The following is a 23,572-nucleotide window of genomic DNA, read 5'->3' on the forward strand; positions in this document are numbered from 1 at the left end:
TACACATGTGCTCTGCAACGTCACATCGTTAGAAAACCTTCCTTAACGTCTCCTGCCAGCTACCCACTCTCTTCACCCATATCCATTACCTCCCCTTTACTCTTCAATCCACTCCAGTCTCCACTTACATCCTATTACTCCATTGAAATGGCTCATCAAAGACTCCCAGCACCTCTACATAGATACTTCTCGTACCTCATATGGACATCTTGCTCTGTCGCTCAGCATCACTCAACCTAGGTTTTCACTGCCTTCTTGGAACACTCTTCTCTCTGGATTTCGGATAATAGCCTTTCTGAATTTTACTCTTTGTTCACTGGATGTTCCTTTTTGGTGACCTTTGGTAGAGTCTCCTCTTCTACCTGACTTGTAAAAGTTGGAGTTCTTCCTGGTCCTCTTCTCTTCACTCTCTAGCACCTTCTAAATCATCTCACCCAGGATTAAATAATACAAATATAATATGACTCCCAAAAGTATTATCCAAATCCAGACTCAGAGAACAGTCTCTGAGCTCCTGACTCAAGAGCTTGACTGTCTACCTGACACTGACTCTTCAATGGCTCACAGCCATCTCAAACTCAAAGGACTCTTGATCTTTCCTCTTCCAACAACTGTTCCTATCCTACTTTTAGCCACAAATAAATAGCACCACTTAGAAATTCACTGATTTATTCAACAAATATTTGCTGAATACTTATTATATATAGTTTGTTAGAGATACAGGTCTAGGCAAACACAAACATAGTCTCAATGTCCAAGAAACTTAGGGAATAGAGTGAAGGAAAAAATTATTCTCTCTGTCTCTCTCACTTGCCCCCCACCTCGCAGATAAACATCCACACTAAAGGAGAGGTACATGGGGTCTTAGGGAAATTTAATCTATGCAGTGCTCAGGAAGGTTAGGGAAGGCCTCTCTGGGAAAGTGATACTTGAGACCAGAAGGATGAGTAAGAGGTAGCCAAGCAAGAGAGGAGAGAAGAGCAGTCCAAGCAGAGGGAACAGATGTGCACAGGCCCTGTGACTGGAAGGAGAAAGGGATCAGGATAATCTGTGAGGACTGAGAGAAGACTAATGTGCTGGGCTGAAGAAAGGGGGGCTGGGTATAGTATAAAATGAGGTGGGAGAGGTGGGCTGGAGCCAGACCATGTTAAAGTATTATTCTTGCTTCTCTCATTCTCCACATAATAGGTCCTATGGATTTTATTTTCTCAACACAGTCCATTTCAAATCATCCTCCTCTCCCCATTTGTACTTTCACTTTTCTGATTCAAGCTGCCCTCATCTCTTTCCTGGATTAACAAAATATCCCCTTAATTGACCTCTTTGCTTCCATTCTTACTCTAGCCCCCATAACATTCTCCATACTAAGGCCAGAGTGATCATTTTAAAAATGCAAACTTGCCAGGTGCAGTGGCTCATGCCTGTAATCCCAACACTCTGGGAAGCTGAGGTGGGCAGATCACCTGAGGTCAGGAGTTTGAGACCAGCCTGGCCAACATGATGAGACCCCATCTCTACTAAAAATACAAAAATTAGCCAGGCATGGTGGCGGGTGCCTGTAATCCTAGCTACTCAGGAGGCTGAGGCAGGAGAATTGCTTGAACCCGGGAGGTGGAGGTTGCAGTGAGCTGAGATCATACCATTGCACTCCAGCCTGGGTGACAGAGAGACACCGTCTCAAAAAAAAAAGAAAAAAAAAAAAAGACAAAAAAACGGCCGGGTGCGGTGGCTCACACCTAATCCCAGCACTTTGGGAGGCCGAGGAGGGTGGATCACAAGGTCAGGAGATGGAGACCATCCTGGCTAACATGGTGAAACCCTGTCTCTACTAAAAATATAAAAAATTAGCTGGGCGTGGTGGCGGTCGCCTGTAGTTCCAGCTACTTGGGAGGCTGAGGCAGGAGAATGGCATGAACCCGGAAGGCAGAGCTTGCAGTGAGCTGAGATTGTGCCACTGCACTCCAGCTTGGGCAACAAAGCGAGACTCCATCTCAAAAAAAAAAAAAGGCAAACTTGATGTCATTGCCCCTCCTTAAAGTCCTCCCTATTGCTCTCCATTGCACTTAGGAAAAATTCAAATTCCCCCAAAACTAAAAACCAAGCCTAAGACTTACAAGAGTAAAAAATGAAATAGACAGTAAACTAATCAACCAGCAAAACAACAACAACGAAAGTTAGACGTGAGAAAATACAACGCTTGCCACACAGATAACAAAGGGTTAAAGTTTATGATATGCTAAGAACACTTAGAAATTGACAATAAAAAGATAACAGCTCCAAAGAAAAATGCACAAAAGATATACCCAGGCAATTCTTAGAATATGTTAAAATACTCTACAAAAATATGATAAGATGCTCAAATATACTAGTAATGAAATAAAAGTAACAATAAAATATTACCATGCAGCCATAAAATCAGTAAATTTAAAGTTTAAAATAAATATATGGCAGGTGCGGTGGCTCACGCCTGTAATCCCAGCACTTTGGGAGGCCAAGGCAGGTAGATCGCTTGAGGTCAGGAGTCCGAGACCAGCCTGGTCAACATGGTGAAACCTTGTCTCTACTAAAAATACAAAAATTAGCTGGGCGTGGTGGCACACTCCTGTAATCCCAGCTACTTGGGAGGCTGAGACAGGAGAATCACTTGAACCCGGGAGGTGGAGGTTGCAGTGAGCCAAGATTGTGCCACTGCACTCCAGCCTGGATGGCAGAGCAAGACTCCGTCTCAAAAAATAAAAATAAAATAAGTATACCCTTTGACCTGGCAAGCTCACTCCTGGGAATCCATCCAGCTGAAACAAAAGCACTAGTATATAAGCATAGATGTATAAAGACGTGCAGCATTGTTTGCAGTTGCAAAAAAGGGAAGTAAAGTGGGTGACTTAAGAGTAAGGTGGTTAAATAAATTGTGGTACTATCACTGCAGGCTTAGTACACAGCCCTGGAGGACATTATGCTAAGTGAAATAAGCCAGGCACAAAAAGACAAATATTGTGTGATCTCACCTATATGCAATCTGAAAAAGTCAAACTCATAGAAGCAGAGAATAGAATGGTGATTACCAGAGGCTAGAGGAGCGGGGTGGATGGAGAAAGTGTGAGACGTTAGTCAAAGGGTAAAGTTTCAGTTAGACAGGAAGAATAATTTGTGGTGATCCACTGCAAAGCGTGGTGACTGTTAATAATAATACTAATAATATTGTTTCAAATTGCTAAGAGTGGATTTTAAATGTTCTCACCACAAATAAATGGTAAGTAGGTGAGGTAAGAGGTATGCTAATTAGTCTGATCTGATCATTCCATAATGTGTACATGTCCTGAAATATCCCACTGTACCCATAAACATATACAATTATTGTCAATTAAAAATAAATAAAACTTAAAAAAAATGGATCAGAGCTCAGTCAGTTGACTCTGGCGAAGCATTATTGAGTGAGAGAAGCAGCACGTGAAGCCCTCATGAGCGCCACCCCCAGTCAGCTTCCACTCTTCTCAGAACCTTTTTTGGCAGTGATGCTTACTTACATCTGGGAGTTTTACCGAGGCTTGTATGGCCAGAAAGTATCATTATGGTTTCTAAAAGCCTTAACCCTCTTTCAAGAATGTCTGAATACATGCTCACAGGATTTCACTCAATTTGCAACTGCGATCAACACCAGGTGACATAGGGTCAGTTACACTCTCACCTTGGCAAAGGCGTCTCTGCCGTAGCTGGCCTCTTGTTCTGTGTGCTGCTTGTCAATGATGTCACGGCCTGTGGCCACAGTCCGGTAAAGAAGGGCTTTCTCAACCATATCTGTCTTAGTAGAGAGCAATTCTGCTATGATAGATACTACTTTGCCATTCTCAATAAGAGGCGTGTCACCATCTACTACAAATTTTAAATTTCCCTGTATCAAAAGTGAAAAAAATAACACATTATGAAACATTATGTCAAGGATATATTTGCCAATATAAAATACAATTCAGGTGACCTTGTTTGTACCTATTTTCCTAAATACATTATACATCTCAACATATAAAAACAGTGTTTCATCTACTTTTTCCCTTTCTCCGGACACTCATCTATCTTTTTGCTTTCAGTGTATGTTTTTGATAGATAAAAGTTTTACATTTTTATGTAATCGAATCTATGAATCTTTTGCCTTAGGGTCTCTCTTTCTTTGGTGTCATACTTAGACCATTCCTACTCCAAAGGGTTTATGAGCATTTGATGCTTTCCTCTAATGCTTTTATAGTTTTTGTTTTCCTTAAACTTTTTATTTTATTTATTTATTTATTTTTGAGACAGAGTCTCGCTCTGTCGCCCAGGCTGGAGTGCAAGTGGTGCGATCTTGGCTCACTGCAAGCTCTGCCTCCTGGGTTCACGCCATTCTCCTGCCTCAGCCTCCTGAAGAGCTGGGACTACAGGTGCCTGACACCACGCCCAGCTAATTTTTTGTATTTTTAGTAGAGACAGGGTTTCACCATGTTAGCTAGGATGGTCTCGACCTCCTGACCTCATGATCCACCCACCTCGGCCTCCCAAAGTGCTGGGATTACAGGCGTGAGCCACCGCGCCTGGCCTTTTTCCTTAAACTTTTTAATCCATCCACAATTGATTTTGGTACATGGTATCAAGTAAGAATCTAACTTTATTTTTCACATGATTAGTTGCTCTAACGGGACTTATTGAACAGTCTAGCTTTTTCTGATTTGAAATGTCACCTTTTTTTTGAGACAGGGTCTGTCACCCAGGCTGGAATGCAGTGGTGCACCATGGCTCACTGCAGCCTCAACGTCCCAGGCTTAAGCGATCCTTCCACCCCCAGCCCCTCTAAATAGCTGGGACTACAGATGCGTGCCACCATGCCTGGCTAATTTTTGTATTTTTTGTATAGATGGGGTTTTGCCATGTTGCCCAGGCTGGTCTTGGAACTCCTGGGTTCAAGCAATCTGTCCACCTCAAACTTTCCAAAGTGCTGGGATTACAGGTGTGAGCAACCCCGCCCAGCTGAAATGTCACCTTTTTAATATGTTAAATCTCCTCAAGTGTTTGAGTCTATTTATATTCCACTCATTCAATAAGCAATACATACTTATAACCATCTACCAAATGTCCAGCACATTAACCAATCAGTTGATTAATCTGTTGATCTGGTGCTGAACTTGTGCAAAGTTATAAAGTACTCTAGCTTTTACTATCATTTTAAGTTTGGTAGAACTAGTCATGTTCCCTCTCCTCCCTTACCCTACCCTATACGACACTTCTTTAATATACTTTATTTGATCTTTTTCCAGGTAAATTCTAGAATCAACAGGTCAAGTTAAAAACAAAATAAAGGCCAGGCACAGTGGCTCACGCCTGTAATCCCAGAACTTTGGGAGGCTGAGATGGGCAGATCACGAGGTCAGGAGATCGAGACTGTCCTGGCTATGGTGAAACCCCGTCTCTACTAAAAATAAAAAAAATTAGCCAGGCGTGGTGGCAGGCGCCTGTAGTCCCAGCTACTCAGGAGGCTGAGGCAGGAGAATGGTATGAACTCGGGAGGTGGAGCTTGCAGTGAGCCTAGATTGCACCACTGCACTCCAGCCTGGGTGACAGAGCGAGATTCCATCTCAAAAAGAAAACAAAACAACAAAAAATAAAATTCTTGTTTGGATTCTGAAAAGGACTGCTGCACTGTATTTAAAAACTGATTCAAACAGATGAGACAATTTATAATACTAAAGTCTTCCTAGTCAGGAACATTTATTGTTTATATTGCTATATAATATTTTTCATAAAGATCCTGCACATTTCTGATTCATTTAGAGTTAAATCTTGCTATATTAAGTGAAAAGTAATTTTTATTCCAGATTTGAATCCATGTTGTCATTCTTATTGTAAGATTATATGTTCAGTGTATTTTAAGTATCTCTAATTATATAAATGTTAATGAAAGAAATCTAACACACAGTTCTTCACTTCTAAGTTTGGTGTGGTATAGTGGGAAACAAGTGGCCCAAAAGTGGTCTATGGTGTTGGCTCTGGGATGAGCTGGCTGTGCCTTTGAGGTAGTCATGCCACCCATCAGGGCTATTTCCCAATCTGTAAAATGAGATGATTAAAAATCCAGTTCCGATAACCTATGATTCTATGTTTCAAATGCCACTAGAAATTTATACCACTAGTAGTCACATCACTGCTGAATTCCTTTATCCTTAAAATTAACCAGTTCAAAGTTTGACAATACCAGTAAGACAATCAACTGAAGTAGTAGTCTCCAACCCTATAGTAGCTTGGAAAATCCCTCATAATATTATAAAATGATGGCAAGAACCACAGACATAGTAATTTCTTCAAAATACGTACAAAATTTTCTCTGAATACTTTTTAAATCTACAGGGAAAAAACAAAATCTTCTGAGAAAGCATCCTGTTCTCAGCAGAAGACAATACATTCTGAGAGGTGTCCCTACTCACCAAGTGCAGAATAGCAGCCAAAATCTTATACACTGTTTGGATCTCCTCAGGTTTGAAGCCAATGACTTTCATGGCATCAGCAACAACTCTGAATTCGGCAGCATCATTGATAGAAGACTGGGGATGAAAATGAAAAACTGAAGTTACAGATATTTCCTATGAGCATTAAAATTCAACAATTATAAAACTAAGTTATACCAAGGTTTTGCCTTCATAGTAAATCACTTGAGGGGATGGTGAGTCTCCAGAGAAAATAAAAATGATTTCACGAGTTGCAACATTATTCAGCACGTACAAAGCCCACTTGTGCGTGAAAGCCATCACCTAAAATAAGCACTGTGCCGTTTTCTGGAACCTTCAGTGAGGGAGCAAGTCCTGAGCTGGCTCAGACAAGCTGATCCCCCACTCCATGATCAGTGAAGGCAACAGCATGGATGTGAGATCACAAATGCAAGTGCTGAATGTGGGAGCCTCCAAGATACATGCTTGGCTACTGTTGTTTGTGGCTCTTTGTTCCACAATTGTCTTATTTAGGCTGGCAACAACACTTCACTCTCGTATAATCAGGCGGTTTATTTTCCAGGTGAGGCAAGGCGGGCCCTCAAAAGCAAAACAGCCAGCCTCAGTCATTTAGTAAGCTATTAAATAGTCTGGGACTATAACTTCATTCTTTCACTCACTTGATACGCATTTCACAAGTCAGCTCTACTAACTGGTACAGGCAGCTCAAAGATGAATCGCCTGCCCTTTTAGAGCTGTGGCCATCACATTGGAAATACAAGTGCGTAAACAGAAATTCGCAATAAAGCAATAGTAACTGCTTATATTAGTTTTACCACAGCAGCAGCCGCAGAGGCTTGACCAATTCTTTCCTCAGTAAGTTTCTCCTCTTGTTTGGATACAGAGACCTGGCCTGATGCTCACTTGTTGAGGAAGGGCCCTGGAAGGGGACCTCTCTGCCTGGTGAGTACAAGTTCCTCTAGTGTCCAGGAGACAACCAGGCCAGCCCCTCCTCCTCCTAGGTTTTTGTTTTTACCTTGGACAAGATACTTAACCTCATTGAACCTCAACTTCCTCACAAATAAAATGGGCATAATAACATATATCTTACAGGGTGGTTGTCAGAATTGAATGAAAATTTATATAAAGCACCTCTCTAGCACCAGCATACAAAAAAAAACCACTCAGCAGTATCAGATATTACTATTATTATAAACTGCAACCATGTTGAAGTTGGAAAGTAACTGGATAAAATCTAAATGTCCTACTGTGGGGAACTGTTGGCTGCTTACCTAACAGCCATCCTCTACCCTCATTTCTTTCTTGCCAATCGAACCCTGATTTGTTTACTCCTCTCTAAGTGTGCATGTCCTTTGTGACTGGCATCTACCTAGCCTCAAGAGGTAAATCTTCACTGGTCTAAACTCATCAGAGTGATCTTATTTCCCTTACTAAATGACTGGTTAGCCACAGGCATGGGATGCCATTCTGATCAATACAACATGAGGGAAAGTGTTTATGGGGGATGAGTGGAGGAGGGTTCTTGGGGAGGTTTCCCTAGCTTATAAAGGACATATGCCATGAACATCTCCTTTGCAGGTGACTCCTGGAAATTCTGATGACATTTTGGGACTAAAAGGAAAACCAGCCTAAGAGGACAGAGCTGTCCATGAGTGTGGCAGAGTTGTAAGTTGGGGAAACAACCAAAAAAACACCTGGGTCCCTGACAACATTGTTAAGGCAATGAACTAACTAATTCTGGAATTGTCCTATCTCAGAGTTTCTTGTTATGCTAGATAATTAAGTTTCTTATTGTTTTTGGAGACTTTTAATTGGGTCTTCTCCTACTTGCAACCCAAAATATCTTAACTGTATATGACTCCTGCATTTTAGAACTGGTTAAGATACACACAGTGCAATACTTAATAGTTATAAAAATTATTATATTAATTTATATTTGTTTGCATGGAAAGATTATAATAAAAACAGGTTTATTTAATTAGGATTTATTGTATGATTCCATTTATAAATATAGATGCAAACCATTATCAATAATCATTTCTGTATGGTAAGATTTAGTGTATTTTTGTTTCCTTTTGGTTCATAGTTTAGGTTTTGACTATGATCATTTATTAGTTCTTTGTTTTCTTAGGAAGCAAAAAAAAAAAGGTGGGGAAAGCAGACATGGAAATTTTTGATAAAAAGGGAATCTAAGCTAAATTTAACCTAGAAAAAAGGCTATTAATTTAATACTTGCTTTCTGTGGGGACTCTACACGACTTGGTCAAAAGTAACTTAGTCGATAAGACAATTTGAAAACAAACATTCCCAGTCACTGGCTTTCCAGGTGTTGATTTCACAATTCTTTAAGTGCCTCTGGCTAGTTCTCAGAGAGGTGGAGTGTTGCCCTCTACTGTTTTTTGTTTTTAATTCATTTTCAGCCAAACATCCTGCTCGCTCTCAGATGACCATAAAAGTAAAGTTGTTGTAACCTAAATGTCAAATAATGGAAAATTAATTGCAAAAACCAAAATATCATTAATTTCTATGCACAGCAATAAAAATACAGCTAAACCAATAATGCAGGTATAATTAGCTTATTTTGATTAATAGAATTTTTTAAAGAAATAGCTCCCATATCTTAGATCTTTTTCCTTTACAGTTTCTTTTATTTCTCCCCCAAATATGAAAGCAGTAAGTTTTTGATGTAGAATTTTTTTAAATAAGGAAAAACAGAACACAAATATCCATAATCTCACCCATCTAGAATAAATAATTAATACTGTGATCTATATCCTACCATATCTTATTATATGCATTTATATACCTTCCCTCCTACGAAATAGGATAATAGTGTAACTATTATCAACAAACTATTATTATAATTAGTTGTAAAATTACTAGATGAACTAGAAATAAAATGAACTAGAAATAAAAGAGCAAAAATACGCCTGCATGTAAGTGTATGCAAGTGCTTGCATGCAAGAAAAGAGAAAAAATGGAAAAACTTGAAAGCTGAATAGGAATGCCTCAAAGGTCACAAAATTATTTCTAGGGTACATCAAAATCAACATTTGAACAAACAGTGAGTGGAGAATCAAAGTGCATTTTAATTTTGTCTTACTAACTTGCCTTTGGCCAAATCATATGGAATCTTCTTAGGAGGTAGGCTTCCTAGTCCTATCAATATTTTTATAGTGTGAAAATAAACGGAATAGGGATAGGATTAAAAATTAAAATAAAACATTGAATGTAGGAAAAAACTTCTTTCCTGTCAGATGGTGATAAAATATCATAATTGATTTTAAGCAAAGTTGTTGATTCAAAAATGTGCTGAATCTCTGTCCTTGAGAATTTAAAAAATAGAACAGGATAAAAGAGATGTTTATTTGCCTAAAGATAGCAGGCTTGACCAGATAATTATTGAATGTCTCTTCTAATCCTTTGACTGATTTTCTATTGGAGCAATCTCAAAGAGGAAATTCTCACCTTTAATTGAGCTCCCACATGAATATAGTTGTAGGATGAAAGGGATTTCTGGAGATGTAGAGAGCGTAGCATTTGTTCTGAACCTCCTTGGAGTAGCTGAAAAATATTTAATTAGAAATAAATTGGCCAGACATACATTGAACCAAACATGAACTTAGTGGTAATCTAGCTTTTATTCATTTTCTGGGCTTAATTCACTTATGTCTTCCTGTTTCTAGCTTTGAAGTTTTGCTTGTTTGTTTTTTTAAACATTCAAGGTAAATGGCTTCAATGTCATCAGTTACAGAGAATGTTATGCAGTCATAAAGAAAATTACTCTGAAAATGTCTCATCTCATTTACAATATAACTGGCATAAAAGTTTCTTGCTTTGAATGCCGTCATTTGTAAAACAGGATCCTATGCTCTGTGGTGGTTGCTTGCTTAGCAGCCTCACTATAGACAGGATATAGTTCTGTCTCAGAATTTAGAAAAAGTCAATATTGCTACGGAAGTAAGAAACATCAGCAGACAGTCATATGCTGAATCACACTGGAAACAAACAGCTTTTCCTCATCAATCTGTACCTCTCAGGAAAAGAGGACAGCTGGGGAACCATGATTGTAGTATTGGATAAAGATAAATTTTAATACTTTCACCCAAGTGGGAAGAACACTGGGAAAAAGTTACAGGTTATTGAAATAAACAGAACTCTTTTATATTTGGTAGAAAAATAGCTTATTTAAAACATGGCAAATTGCCAACAGAACCATAAACACAATATTGACAGTGCTTTTATATAGAGCATGTTTTTGGAAGGTATTAGGTTTAAATTCTCTAAATTAAACTGTATGCTTTTGTTTACTTAAAAAGTCTAATTATCAGATTTTAAAAATTGATTTTTAAACTTAATATACCAGAACTTATATATACAAATGAGTAGTGTCTATTAAAGCAGTTACCTAGAAGAAACTGAATTCGACTGAATTGCATCCAATTGTATTGTCACCGTTCAGTTACTTTCTGTTAACCTTGATTTACATTAATTTGGGCTTTAAAAACTTACAATAATATATCATACTTGTTTTCTAAGTGTAAAGACTTGCCAACAGGAAGGCTATTTAAAAGATTTTGCTTTAAAATCTAAAAGCACTCTTGAAAATAAATACTCAAATTTTTTTCTAAACTTGATGGATTAAAAAGGCAATCCTCCCTAGAAGTTATAAATCCAGATTGTTTTTTTAAAAGTAATCATATTGCTTTTAGTGTGTATGAGTGAAACAAACTGAATTTGTATTCTGATCTCTAGAACTCCCAAATATGGAAACAACAGCTTCAATTCAAAATAAAACAAAAATTAATTTAACATTTAGAATGTACCATTTCAAAAGCTTTCACAGTCATTAAAGTGTTATCTGTACTGCAAGAAAATATGGGGGATGCTCACCCAAGGCAGTCATCTGGTTGGCTAAGCTCCTGCCAGCTGGGTGGAACAGTCATGTTCATCCAATCTCTTAAGCAGGTAGGGCAGGGCATGTGGTGCGTGCGTGCGTGCGTGCATGCGTGACATGTTACGGGGCCAATGGAGATGAGTGATGCATAGGACAGGGGAAAGCCCAAGACACAAATACTCATTTCCTGCACAACTGGGCAAATGATCAATTATCTGTATAATGGATTACTAACCTGATAGAAAGAATGAAAGCTTCTTTCTCCTGGCTGTTGCACAATCACTCGAGACTAAGAAAAAACACATTAAAATGGTTAACCCGAAAATGTGCCCCTAAAATAAAACAGGAGCCACTTTCTTAGGGAACTGTCAGGCCTCTGAGCCCAAGCCTGCACGTATACATCCAGATGGCCTGAAGCAACTGAAGAATCACATAAGAAGTGAAAATGGCAGATTCTTGCCTTAACTAATGACATTTGGTGCCGTGACTTGGATCGGGGGAGCTCCCTTGGGAGATCAATCCCCTGTCCTCCTGCTCTTTGCTCTGTGAGAAAGACTGACTTACGACCTCAAGTCCTCAGACCAACCAGCCCAAGGAACATCTCACCAATTTTAAATCAGGTAAGCGGCCTCTTTTTACTCTCTTCTCCAACCTCTCTTACTATCCCTCAACCTCTTTCTCCTTTCAATTTCGGCGCCACCCTTCAATCTCCCCCTTCCCTTAATTTCAGTTCCTTTCCTTTTCTGGTAGAGACAGAGGAGACGTGTTTTATCTGTGAACACAAAACTTCAGCACCGGTCACGGATTCGGGAAGACAGTCTTCCCTTGGTGTTTAATCACTGCAGGGACGCCTGCCTGATTATTCACCCACACTCCATTGGTGTCTGATCACTGTGGGGACACTTGCCTTGATCCTTCACCTTGGTGGCAAGCACCACTTTCCTGGGTGGCAAGTACCAACCCCACCCCACTCCCTACCCCCACCCCCCGACCCCGGCCCATGTCTCTACCCTCTCTTTTCTCTGGGCTTGCCTCCTCCACTATGGTCAACCTTCCACCCTCCATTCCTCCTTCTTCTCCCTTAGCCTGTGTTCTCAAGAACTTAAAACCTCTTCAACTCACACCTGACCTAAAACCTAAACACCTTATTTTCTTCTGCAATACCACTTGACCCCAATACAAACTCAACAATGGTTCCAAACAGCCAGAAAACAGCACTTTAAATTTCTCCATCCTACAAGGTCTAGACAATTATTGTCGTACAATGGGCAAATGATCTGAGATGCCTGACGTCCAGGCATTCTTTTACACATCGGTCCCTCCCTAGTCTCTGCTCCCAATGCGACTTGTCCCATATCTTTCTTCTTTCTCTCCTGTCTGTTCCTTTAGTCTCCACCCCAAGCTCTGAGTCCTCTGAATCCTCCTTTTCTACAGGACCTCTCCCCTCCTCCCCAGGCTGTGCCTTGCCAGGCTGAGCCAGGTCCCAATTCTTCCTCAGCCTGTGCTCTCCCACCCTATAATCCTTTTATCACCTCCCCTCCTCACACCCGATCTGGCTTACAGTTTCGTTCCATGACTAGCCTTCCCCCACCTGCCCAACAATTTCCTCTTAAAGAGGCGGCTGGAGCTAAAGGCATAGTCAAGGTTAATGCTCCTTTTTCTTTATCCGACCTCTCCCAAATCAGTTAAATATCCTAAAGACCCCCATGGATTGTATACTCATCTAAGAATGAGTCTTCTCTATGGGGTTTCCCCTGCAATTCTTTGATAATTCTTTTTATTGCTTAAAACAGAGGTCCCTAAAACTTTCTGAAGAATGAAGCTATTTTGATTTTTTTAACCTGGAGCCTAAAGATGGAATTTGGTGGTTGGGGGTGGGGTAAGAATTAGAAGTGGGGAGAATAGGAAGGAATGCTTAGGGAGGAATATTCTCAACATTCCTTTCCCCAGGGTCTGCTGGCATTTCAAAGAGCAATGCCTTATATCCTGTAATAAAAGTCAGTTGAGCAAGATCAATCCATAGAGACCTCTGCCTTAGATGGTTCCAAAAATACTGCTGTTAGGAGAGGGTTCAAAATATGAGTTCATTCAAAAGGATCCTTTTGATTGAATATGTATTACACATAAAGTGAACTGATGAAACATTCTGGAAAAAGGACTGATAATAATACCTGGCATTTCCTGTCCTTTTTCAACTGACTCTGATAATACATTTATTTCCTTAACAGTCCGACTTCAATATAACAAACAAAAATAAAGATTATACTTCATTATATGGCCATAAAGGATGCTATGGCCTAACTGGGATAGGAAACCCTTAACTGAGAAAACCTGTCGGCTTAGATCTGTATGAATTCAAGGTGGAGACTTGATTTTATAAAGCACAAGCTTAACTGTAAAAATGAACTCTATGTATTCTCTTGCAGTCATGTCCACTGATAATCAAGATTAGTTAAGACACAACCAGCTGGGTGCAGCAGCTCATGCCTGTAATCCCAGCACTTTGGGAGACTGAAGCAGGAGGGCTGCTTGAGCCTAAGAGTTTGAGACCAGCCTGGGCAACACAGGGAGACCCCATCTCTACAAAATAAAAAAAAAATTGCTGGGTATGGTGGGCCATGCCTGTGGTCCCAGCTACTCAGGAGGCTGAGGTGGGAGGATTGCTTGAGCCTGGGGGGTTGAGGCTGCAGTGAGCCATGTTCATGCTACTGCACTCCAGCCTGGATGACAGAGTGAGACTCTGTCTCAAAAAACACAAAACCAAACCAGACACAACCTCTCTGGTGGTCCCAAGAAGAAAATTCTAATTGGAATCCTCTAGAAATTGGGCCTATTTTAAGTTTTTACTGACCAAATACAGTTCGCTTCATAATTAGGATGTAAGATCACAAAATACATATATGTTACTATAAAGCAATGAACAAATAGAAACTAGAAGAAAATGAGATATCAAATTAATTAAAATTAAAATGTATAGAAGATGGTGATGTATAAAAAGGCTAGAACTGATTAGTCTTAGATTGACTTTCGGTTAAACCTTACCCAGAAGCTGGCACACACTCATACCTGTGCCCCCACCCATTCACACGCATAGCTAAATCTATCTACAAAGTCCACAACTTTTTCCAACTTGACAGTGTAAGTGCTAAGAAGAGAAGACAAAAGGAGAATACCTTATCATAAAAAGCTAATGAAGAAGGGAGAATAGGATTTAAAGCTATTTTGAGTCAATAAAATAAATTCTATAAATATAATTTGTTTAAACATTCAGCACTTAAAACATTACCCTCAGAAATTAAGCATATTTTACCTTTTCTAGTAAGTAGTTATTGATATGCCCACCAATAGGGTCACCCTTGAAGTCAAAGTTGATATCCATGTATTTTCCAAACCTGCTTGAGTTGTCATTACGGTTGGTTTTGGCATTTCCAAAAGCTTCCAAAACACAGTTGGACTTAAGCAACATATTCTTCACTCTTTAACACAGATAAATGAAAGTCATTATAAAAACTTATAGAGACTAGAATTTTTTAAAAACTGGATTTTGCTAAACCACATACAAATATTTATACAAAGATGCTAACTCCAGCACTGTTTGCAATATCAAAAAAAAAACAAACAAATTAATGTCCACCAATAGGGATAAAAATAAATTTTTGTTTCCCAATATAATGAAATACTATACAGGTGCTAAAAAGAATGAGGTACATCAATATGTACTCACATGGAAATGTCCAGCATATATTAATGAATATAAAATCAAGTTGTCAAATAACATGCATTGCAGGATCCTTGTGTGTGTATGTGTATGTTCACGTGTGTGTGTGTGTGCATACACATGTATCAGCAAATGCTTAAAAATCTGGAGGGATCAGCACACCTTACTATGGTTATCTAGACAGGAGACTGATGGAATGGGCAAGGTAGGATTTCAGGGAACTTTTACATCTTCAACTTAATTCTGTAATTTTTGTTTTTCATTTTATAAATGTACATATTTTATCTACATAAAGAAAATTTTTAAAAAGATGTGTTCTGAAAAGGGAAAGAATAGGTGATACAGAAAATGATACAATTTTTAAGGCACTTGCTTATAAAACCTGGAATTGTGACATTTTATTGTACTTAGTTATACATCATAAATTTAATCTTCACTAGTTCAGAAATTGCTCATTATTTTCTTTGAAGCTGTATGGAATTTCTCCTTTGTACCAGCCATTTAATGCATTCTTTATTCGACGAATGCTAACTTTCTATACAGCAGTCCCTCCCAATGGATACATTTTAAACTTCATGCTATATCCTTGTTTTCATTCCACTGATAAAATTCTTCTTATACAGGCATACCTGCAGAAATAACTTTGGCCTCTGAAATAACTTGATGTAGAAGATCTACTGTTACTCCCGCTAATACTGGAGAGTTCAACCTTATCGCCTCATAAATGAAAGCATATTTTAAAAATATGTGTGTGGGGGGAAACTGCTTGTGATAAGATATGTTTGTGAAAGACTAGTAAATTTATATATGCCTTACTCTACTATTGTAGGTGTGAAATTAATTTATTTCTCATCTAGTTGCTCTCCTGAGCTCCTAAGGAAATTAAGAAAATTTACACATATCCCTGTCCTTGTCAAACTAGATTGTAAAGTCAGAGTAAGAAGGAGGGATATGTTACAATTAAGAAAAATGCCTCTCCTGGCCCAGCAATGCAGCCCAATATGATGAAAAGAAGAAAGGCTACGCAGGGTAGTGAAGTGTAAGTTCTCTTCTTTTACATCAACCCAATATCCTTTCTTCCTATTTATAAAACTGAAGATTGTTATGTGTAGATGAGGTGGGACTCTTTACTAAATTAGTACTGAGCTTTGAAGTAACCAATTAGGAAAACAGTTTCTCTCTTCAAAAAGGCTGCACCACATAAGAAAGTGAGTCTTGTTGCTTTATAGCTATCATCCATTCATCCCTTAAGTATTTGTTAAGCAAATACTATGTGCCAGCTGCTCCCCTAAATGCTGGGCCCCAGACAGTAGAGATCAGCTTTATTACTCATCTTCCCATGAGCAATAGCACAGTATGGCATGAAATCCTTTTAGAAAATGAATCCTGTTCGGCCGGGCGCGGTGGCACATGCCTGTAATCCTAGCACTTTGGGAGACCGAGGCGGACGGGTCACGAGGTCAGGAGATCGAGACCACAGTGAAACCCCGTCTCTACTAAAAACACAAAAAAATTAGCCGGGCGCAGTGGCCGGTGCCTGTAGTCCCAGCTACTCGGGAAGCTGAGGCAGGAGAATGGCATGAACCCGGGAGGCGGAGCTTGCAGTGAGCTGAGATCGCGCCACTGCACTCCAGCCTGGGCCACAGAGCGAGACTCCATCTCAAAAAAAGAAAAAAAGAAAATGAATCTTGTTCAGAAATTCCACTGTCAGTGGATTCTGAATGTTGTAATGATGATGATGGGAAGGCATGGGTCTGCCTTCCAGAGTCCCACTTCTCTCAGAACACAGTTTTTTAAAAACCCTGATGTGGTGCAAAGAGCAAGGAACCTGTGAGAGTTTGAACAATAAAACCTACCAGTGTAAATTATAACAGCTCTGCTGACCACATTTAAGTCAACAGTAATAAACCAGGATGGGAACACTTTCAACTGTTTCAGAGTAATGATTCTTTTGGTCTCATAATTAGGTAAAGCTTACCATAGTATTATTTTTCTATTAAAAACAAATCTAGAAATGGATACAGTGAAATAAATAAAAGTACAGAGACAATATGCACTTAAGAGAATCAAAGTAGCTTAATCATCAAAAAATGCTCAGCCCATAGGTTTAGACCCCCAAAATGCTCAACCCCTAGAGTTTAGGTCTAGCCAAGTCCATAGAGAAAACAGAGTGCTAAGAATTCCTCCCCATTATTAGAGTGCTCTTACCTTTCAACCTCTGCTCTCTGACTGGGGTTGGTGATGGCCGCAATATACTGCATAATGTACTTACTGGCTTCCGTTTTACCAGCTCCACTTTCCCCTGGGGGGAAAAATTGTTCAGGGCTTAACATAATAATTTAAACCAAGAGTAAGCTAATTTTTAATAGAATAATTTAAAAATCTGATACTGGTGATGCATTTAAAATCCCACATGTTGCACTGTTTCATTTTTTTGCTTTTTTGAGTTATTTCGTCCTGCCTTGATATGGTTAGTGGTTCTAACAGACCTGAATATGATGAAGAAAATAAAACTATTATAAAACTAAAATAATGAGTAGACTACAAATAAAGATTTACTTAGGAAAAAGGTACTGATGTGGTAAACTAAGACTAAAGTTTTAGTACTTGGTAGGGACTCATAAGTCTAGCAGAAATGAAATAAGGTAGTGAGTCAAACAGTGGTTACAACTAAATTCATATAATCTTATTTTCTATAAGAGAATTTCTTTTAATCTTAAAGGGGACAAAATAATTCGTCTAAAAAATTAAGGTTAGAGTAATTTTAGTGAAAAAACAAAACAGCAAGCTCCAGACACAAGGTATCATAGAAAAAGCATGACAATTGGGATAATGCTGGGGGATGGGGAAAAAGGAACCAATTTTGAAGTATCTTCGAAATGTTAAATGCTTATGCCTTCTGACTCAAAAATTCCACTGGTAGAAATTTCTCCTAAGGAAATACTAAAAAATACTAACATAACCAAATAATAATAATGTTCAAAGCTTTTAAAACATTTCTATAGACTGTACTGTAAGTCATGGCTAAAATCTGGAAATTATATATCCATCAGTAGATAACTGGATAAATTATGATTCAATTATTTAAATGGAATACTATACAATTATTAAAAAGAATGCACTAGCTCTATAGAAACACCAATGAAAAGATATTTACTATATATTATTAAATGGAAAAATTAGTTATATAACAGACATAATTCTATATATAATTATATATTTATAATATAATTACACATGCAATTATGACTGTATTTGTTTGCACATCCAGAGAAAATGTATAAAAGGATAAACACTAAACTGTTAACAGCTGTTACTGCTGGAATTTTGGGAAGAATAAGGCACTCAAGGCGAAGAAACGTTTTGCTTTTACTCCACACACTCATATAATTGTTTTTATTCTCCCCTTTAAAACCCAGTAATACTGTTTTTGTGATTTGTTTTAAATAAAACATAGTCCTAGGATATAATTTTCTAACTCCAACACTAAGTTACTTAACTCCTCTGACCTTTAATATTCTTATCTATAAAGTAGAAAAATAACTGTTCTACATACCAGAGAGTTGTTTTGCTCACCAAAATGGAATAATGATTATAAAAGTGTTTCTAAAAGCATAAAACCACCAGTGCAAATGTGAGGTATTATTAGCACCTGAAGAAATTCCCACAATTTGGGAGAGGCCATCCTGGGTCAGTGAACAGATATTTTTCCTGTCCCCATTTCACTACATAAGGGTCCTTGAAGGGCTCCCCTTAACGTAGGCAGTTTGGCTCCAGTCCTCAAACATGTGAGGTGTGTACCCTATCTCGTGCCTATCTCCCCCCTTGTTGGGCTTCAATAACTCAGCCCCTCAGCTCTGAAAGCTTATTTTTGGCCCCCACGCCTCAGTAGGTCCCTCAACACTAGTTCCCAAGCACCAGTCTGATTTTGAGTTGATTCTTCCTTTTCACACCTCAATATTTCATTTTCGTTGGTTTCATTTTGCTATTTAAAATAATTTTGTTACATTTTATCCAGACTTTTATGTGTTTGAGATGGAAACATTTTCCATGTCAGCTCAATCTAACAAATTGGCCAGAAGTCATCCAAGTGTAATATGTATTCATAAATGAACCAAGATTAGAGGATGATCAGAAATGATATAAATAATTTGGTATTTAACGTTCATCACTTTTCTCTCTCCTATAGAATTGCTCAGGCTTCTACCTTTAAAAAAATATTTAATCAATTGTTTGGATTCTTGAGTATCAAACAAATTAAACACATTGTGACTTTGGAAATACAGGGGATCCCCTCCAATTACCTGATATCACAATACAAGTGTCTTTTGATCGCCTCTTCATAGCCTTGTAAGCAGCATCCGCAATAGCAAAAAGGTGAGGCGGTCTCTCATACAGCTCACGGCCTTTATACTGCTCAATTGTGTCTCTTCCATAGATGTTCAACAACTTGTAAGGGTTCACAGAAACGACGACTTCTCCAATGAACGTATAGATGCGCCCTTTTTCAAATCTGTACAGAAGCAAAAGAAAAGGAAGACGTAGCTGTGGTTACAGAGAAATGATGTATCTGTCCTGTGAGTCTCTTATTTCCAAGGAAGTCCAAATATCCTAGGAATGATTTCTGAACTGACGTTTCATTGGCTCTGAGTTAACTTGTAGAGAATGTTTGAGGCTGTGCCCCTTCAGATGCCATTGGTAGAAAAGACCAGTAGGGGTTAAAAGCCAGGCAAGAAGGAAGAATTTAACTTGTTGGAGGCTGGGATTTCCTGTTTCCAAAATACAGAAGGGTAAGAAGATGAAAAAGCTAAAAAGAGTTGAAGACAATCTCAGAGCTCTAGGAGGAAAAGAAATAGAAGTTAAAGTAGATCTTGAAATCCACTTAGTCAGATTTTCAATTTTAAAGAGGACTGTCATATACATTTATTTTTTTCTCCCTCTTGAACCTCACTAAAATGTTAGTAAATTAATATAAACAGTAAAATCCATAACAGAGAGAATGGTGGAGGAGACACTTCTGCTCTAAATCAAACTTATTTTTTTATGACTGCCTAAAGTTCCATGGTGTCGATATATCATTATATATTCAACGATTCCTGTTCCTTCCTGCTTTCTATGAACAATACTGCAGAAAACACTCTTGATACATAATCTTACAGATTGGTGCTTTTACTTCTGTGGTATAGATTCTCAGGAATGGGACAGCTGGTTGAAAGGCATGTGTATTTTTAAAGTATATATAATATGATTCTACCTTTTCCCCATAAAATAGGGTTAAAAATCTAATCATACGTATTTGTATCTGTACACAGATATATTTTATAAATGAGTACATAAGTGTGAAAAAATATAGACAAATACATGTTATATTTTATGCATCATTTTATACACACAGTAGGGTTATGTGGAAGGAGAGAAATAAAGAGGAAGGCCACATGGGCAGGTGAGAAGAGGCCACAGGACAAAAAAAAAAAAAAAAATACAAAGCTTGAGTAGGTATGCTATGACTGCAATTGTGCAACTTTATGTGTCTATTTAAGAAAATTTTTAAATATAAAATTCAGAAAACCCATATATGTCCACTGTTTTTACACAGTAATCCACACATAGAAACATATGTGGCCCAGAGCTTAGATGTTTCCACATAACAAGTGGTTACCACCAACATGCTCTACCAGCTGAGAGATACTGGTAGACATCTCTCTCACGTCCAAGAACTGAACAAAGGGTGTGCCCTGACAGGCAAAATGCTGGTTCACAGACAGCATGTCTCTAAGCACGCTTGCTTCATGGCTGGTGGAGCAGGAGAAATAACTAAGCATTTGGGACCAAAAAGCAAGAACCTTAAATTTCCTTTAAGCTGGAATGAAGGCTGTTGGCTATAATTAGGAATGGAAACAAACAGATGTTGATAATTTCAACAATAAATTCAAACCAAGATTTTTATCAAGTATTTAGAGTATTTTAACAGTTATTAACTACTTCAAGGTTTTCAGTGCATTTTTCTACTATGGGTTTTCTATGTATCCTCTCAGTTGTTAGGAAGTTTACATGGCAGCTAAAAGCACTGATTTCGAGTCCTTTACATCTGGGTTTGAATGCTCACATTGCAAACTCAATAGCAGTGATACCTTGTGAAAGCTACTTAACCTCCATGTGTTTCAGCTTATTCATCTGTAAAATGGTCATAATTATACCCCTCTACCCTCGGACATTGAATAAGTACTTTTTAAAAAAGATCATTAATAGTATGCTTCTGATTATGTTATGCATAAGGGAGATTTTTAAATAACATTTTTGTTTTATAAACATTGCTACTGAAATCACAACAATCCTTACACATGAGGAATGAATGAATTCAATTATCATAATCCAATTCTCTGGCCAGACGCAGTGGCTCTTGCCTATAATCCCAGCACTCTGGGAGGCCAAGGCAGGTGGATTACTTGAGACCAGGAGTTTGAGACCAGCCTGGGCAACATAGTGAAACTCCATCTCTACCAAAAATACAAAATTAGCTCGGCGTGGTGGTGCACACTTATAATCCTAGCTACTTGGGAGGCTGAGGCGGGAGGATCGGTTGAACCTGGGAGGCGGAGGTTGCAGTGAGGCAAGATCGCACCACTGCACTGCAGCCTGGGCAGCAGAGTGAGACTCCATCTTAAAAAAAAAAAAATCCAATTCCCTGACTCAGCTGTCAGTCAACTACAAGTCACAAGCAAAATATCTATATAACAACTGTTCAAAGACTCGCGAAAATAAGCTAAGATTCACTACGCAAGTTTTTCTGGCTTAACCTGCAAATTTGCAGTACATGCTCAAGTATCTCCAAGGAAAAGAATCAAAAGGGCACGATTGTTTAGTTTTGAATAAGCACTGTCCAAACAAAAAAAAAAAATGAAGAAAAGCAGCAGAAGAATGTCTCATGAGCCGGGAACTCTGCAACTAAGAGTCACAGCAAATTATGTATGAGATTAGACTATTTTAAGATTCCATGTTGGTCCAATGATGTACCTTCTTTTTCACTGGATAATTTTTAGAGCCACTAATAGACCATTATGCTCTAAAATAATATTTTATTACAAATAAAATATTTTCTATTAACCTATAGGCACCATGTATAAAATAATTAAATGGCTTGGCACAGTGGCACATGCTTGCAGACCCAGCTATTTGAGATGCTGAGGCAGAAGGATCACTTGAGCCCAGGAGTTTGGGTCCAGCCTGGACAACACAGCAAGATCTCATGTCTTAAGAAAATAATTGAATGCATAACTATTAACTCAAAGATAGTGGCAAATATTAACAGAATATGATATTAAATACAATGCTTCAGCAATTCACAAAACGTTAGAAGCTCATTTTACTTGAAATTCTAAGTTTGGTTATCAAATACAAAACTTTCAATTTGGTTGGGTCTTAAAAATCACCACTAGGTGGTGCCAATATACACCTTAACAGCAACTCAAATTTCAGTTTGCATTGGAAAGCCATAGGGTAGTAAGTAAGCACTAAAGTAATATAGTCGCTTACTCTGTTTGCCTCCAGGAAGAACTACTAATTATCCTAGATGACAAATAGGATGTTATCATCTCTTACAAGAGACCAAGGAAGGTGTTCCTATGACTTCTGTGTGCAAACCTTTCATGACAAACTTTTATAATTATTCAGTATCTACTTTGTGCCAGATACCGGGTCAAACCCTGGGAATTAAAAAAGGAGTGGAGAACAGGAAAGCATTGTACATAAATAACAACAATATAGTATGATAGGTAAGGTAATAAAAGCATGTACTGTAGTGACAAAGATTATCCCAATAAACCACCTTCAGTGAGGAACACTAAGAGTAAGAGCATACAGGGTCTGGCCTCCGGGTTTCTGTTGACTTCCATCTACCAACAACACTTCCACCCACCAAAACCTCCCCTACCACTTCTCTCTGTCTCTGTTGCTCTTGTTCTCATTAATGAGCTAATTACAGTTCCCAAGAGCGCCATGTCTTCATGGTTTTGCCCATGGAGTTCATTCTGCCTCACACCTTTTCCTGGTTCCTTCTTCCCCATGTGCTTGCCAGATTCCCTCTCCTTCTCCAAAAGTCTAAGCACTAGGTCCTCTATGGAGTCACTCTTAATACTCTACCTCCAACGTCAGTTTTATGGTCTTTGCTCTGTTACCTTTTTTTTTTCCTTTTTAGAACTTCCTAAATGGTTAACATAAATTAATAGCAATTGATTTTTTAAACTAGTAAGTTTAAAAATATTTATTAAAAGGGACATATATTTTCACTGGCTTTTAAGTGAAACAAAGAGGTTCTAAAAAGTTCTGAATTAGTGAGTAGTAATGGATAAAATATAAAGGTATAATAATGACATTGGCAAACAATAGTTCACTGTAAAGGAATTCTGAAACCTTTTTTTTAAAGTAGCCTTGTTAATTTGCATGTGTCACTTATATATAGGACAATCTATAGTAGGAAGTCAAGATGAGAGGGGC

The 23,572-nt window shown here is 38.4% G+C and overlaps 1 protein-coding gene across 6 annotated transcripts in view; it reads right to left on the minus strand.

The window, feature by feature from the left end:
• Nucleotides 1-23,572, minus strand: part of MYO1D (myosin ID) — a 384,603-nt gene that overhangs the window by 268,671 nt on the left and 92,360 nt on the right. For all 6 annotated transcript variants that reach the window (XR_001752521.3, NM_015194.3, NM_001411088.1 and 3 more), the window contains 7 exons: nt 19,384-19,592; nt 17,288-17,381; nt 14,672-14,837; nt 11,597-11,650; nt 9,933-10,028; nt 6,444-6,560; nt 3,686-3,889 (listed from right to left, as the gene is read on the minus strand). Coding sequence is in view for 5 of the 6 variants with exons in the window: in NM_015194.3 (NP_056009.1) it covers nt 3,686-3,889; nt 6,444-6,560; nt 9,933-10,028; nt 11,597-11,650; nt 14,672-14,837; nt 17,288-17,381; nt 19,384-19,592 (940 nt within the window). In the remaining variant the exon portion in view is untranslated. The remainder of the gene's footprint in view (nt 1-3,685; nt 3,890-6,443; nt 6,561-9,932; nt 10,029-11,596; nt 11,651-14,671; nt 14,838-17,287; nt 17,382-19,383; nt 19,593-23,572) is intronic.

This window comes from Homo sapiens, chromosome 17, assembly GCF_000001405.40.
Source record: "Homo sapiens chromosome 17, GRCh38.p14 Primary Assembly".
Taxonomy (NCBI): Eukaryota; Metazoa; Chordata; class Mammalia; order Primates; family Hominidae; genus Homo; species Homo sapiens.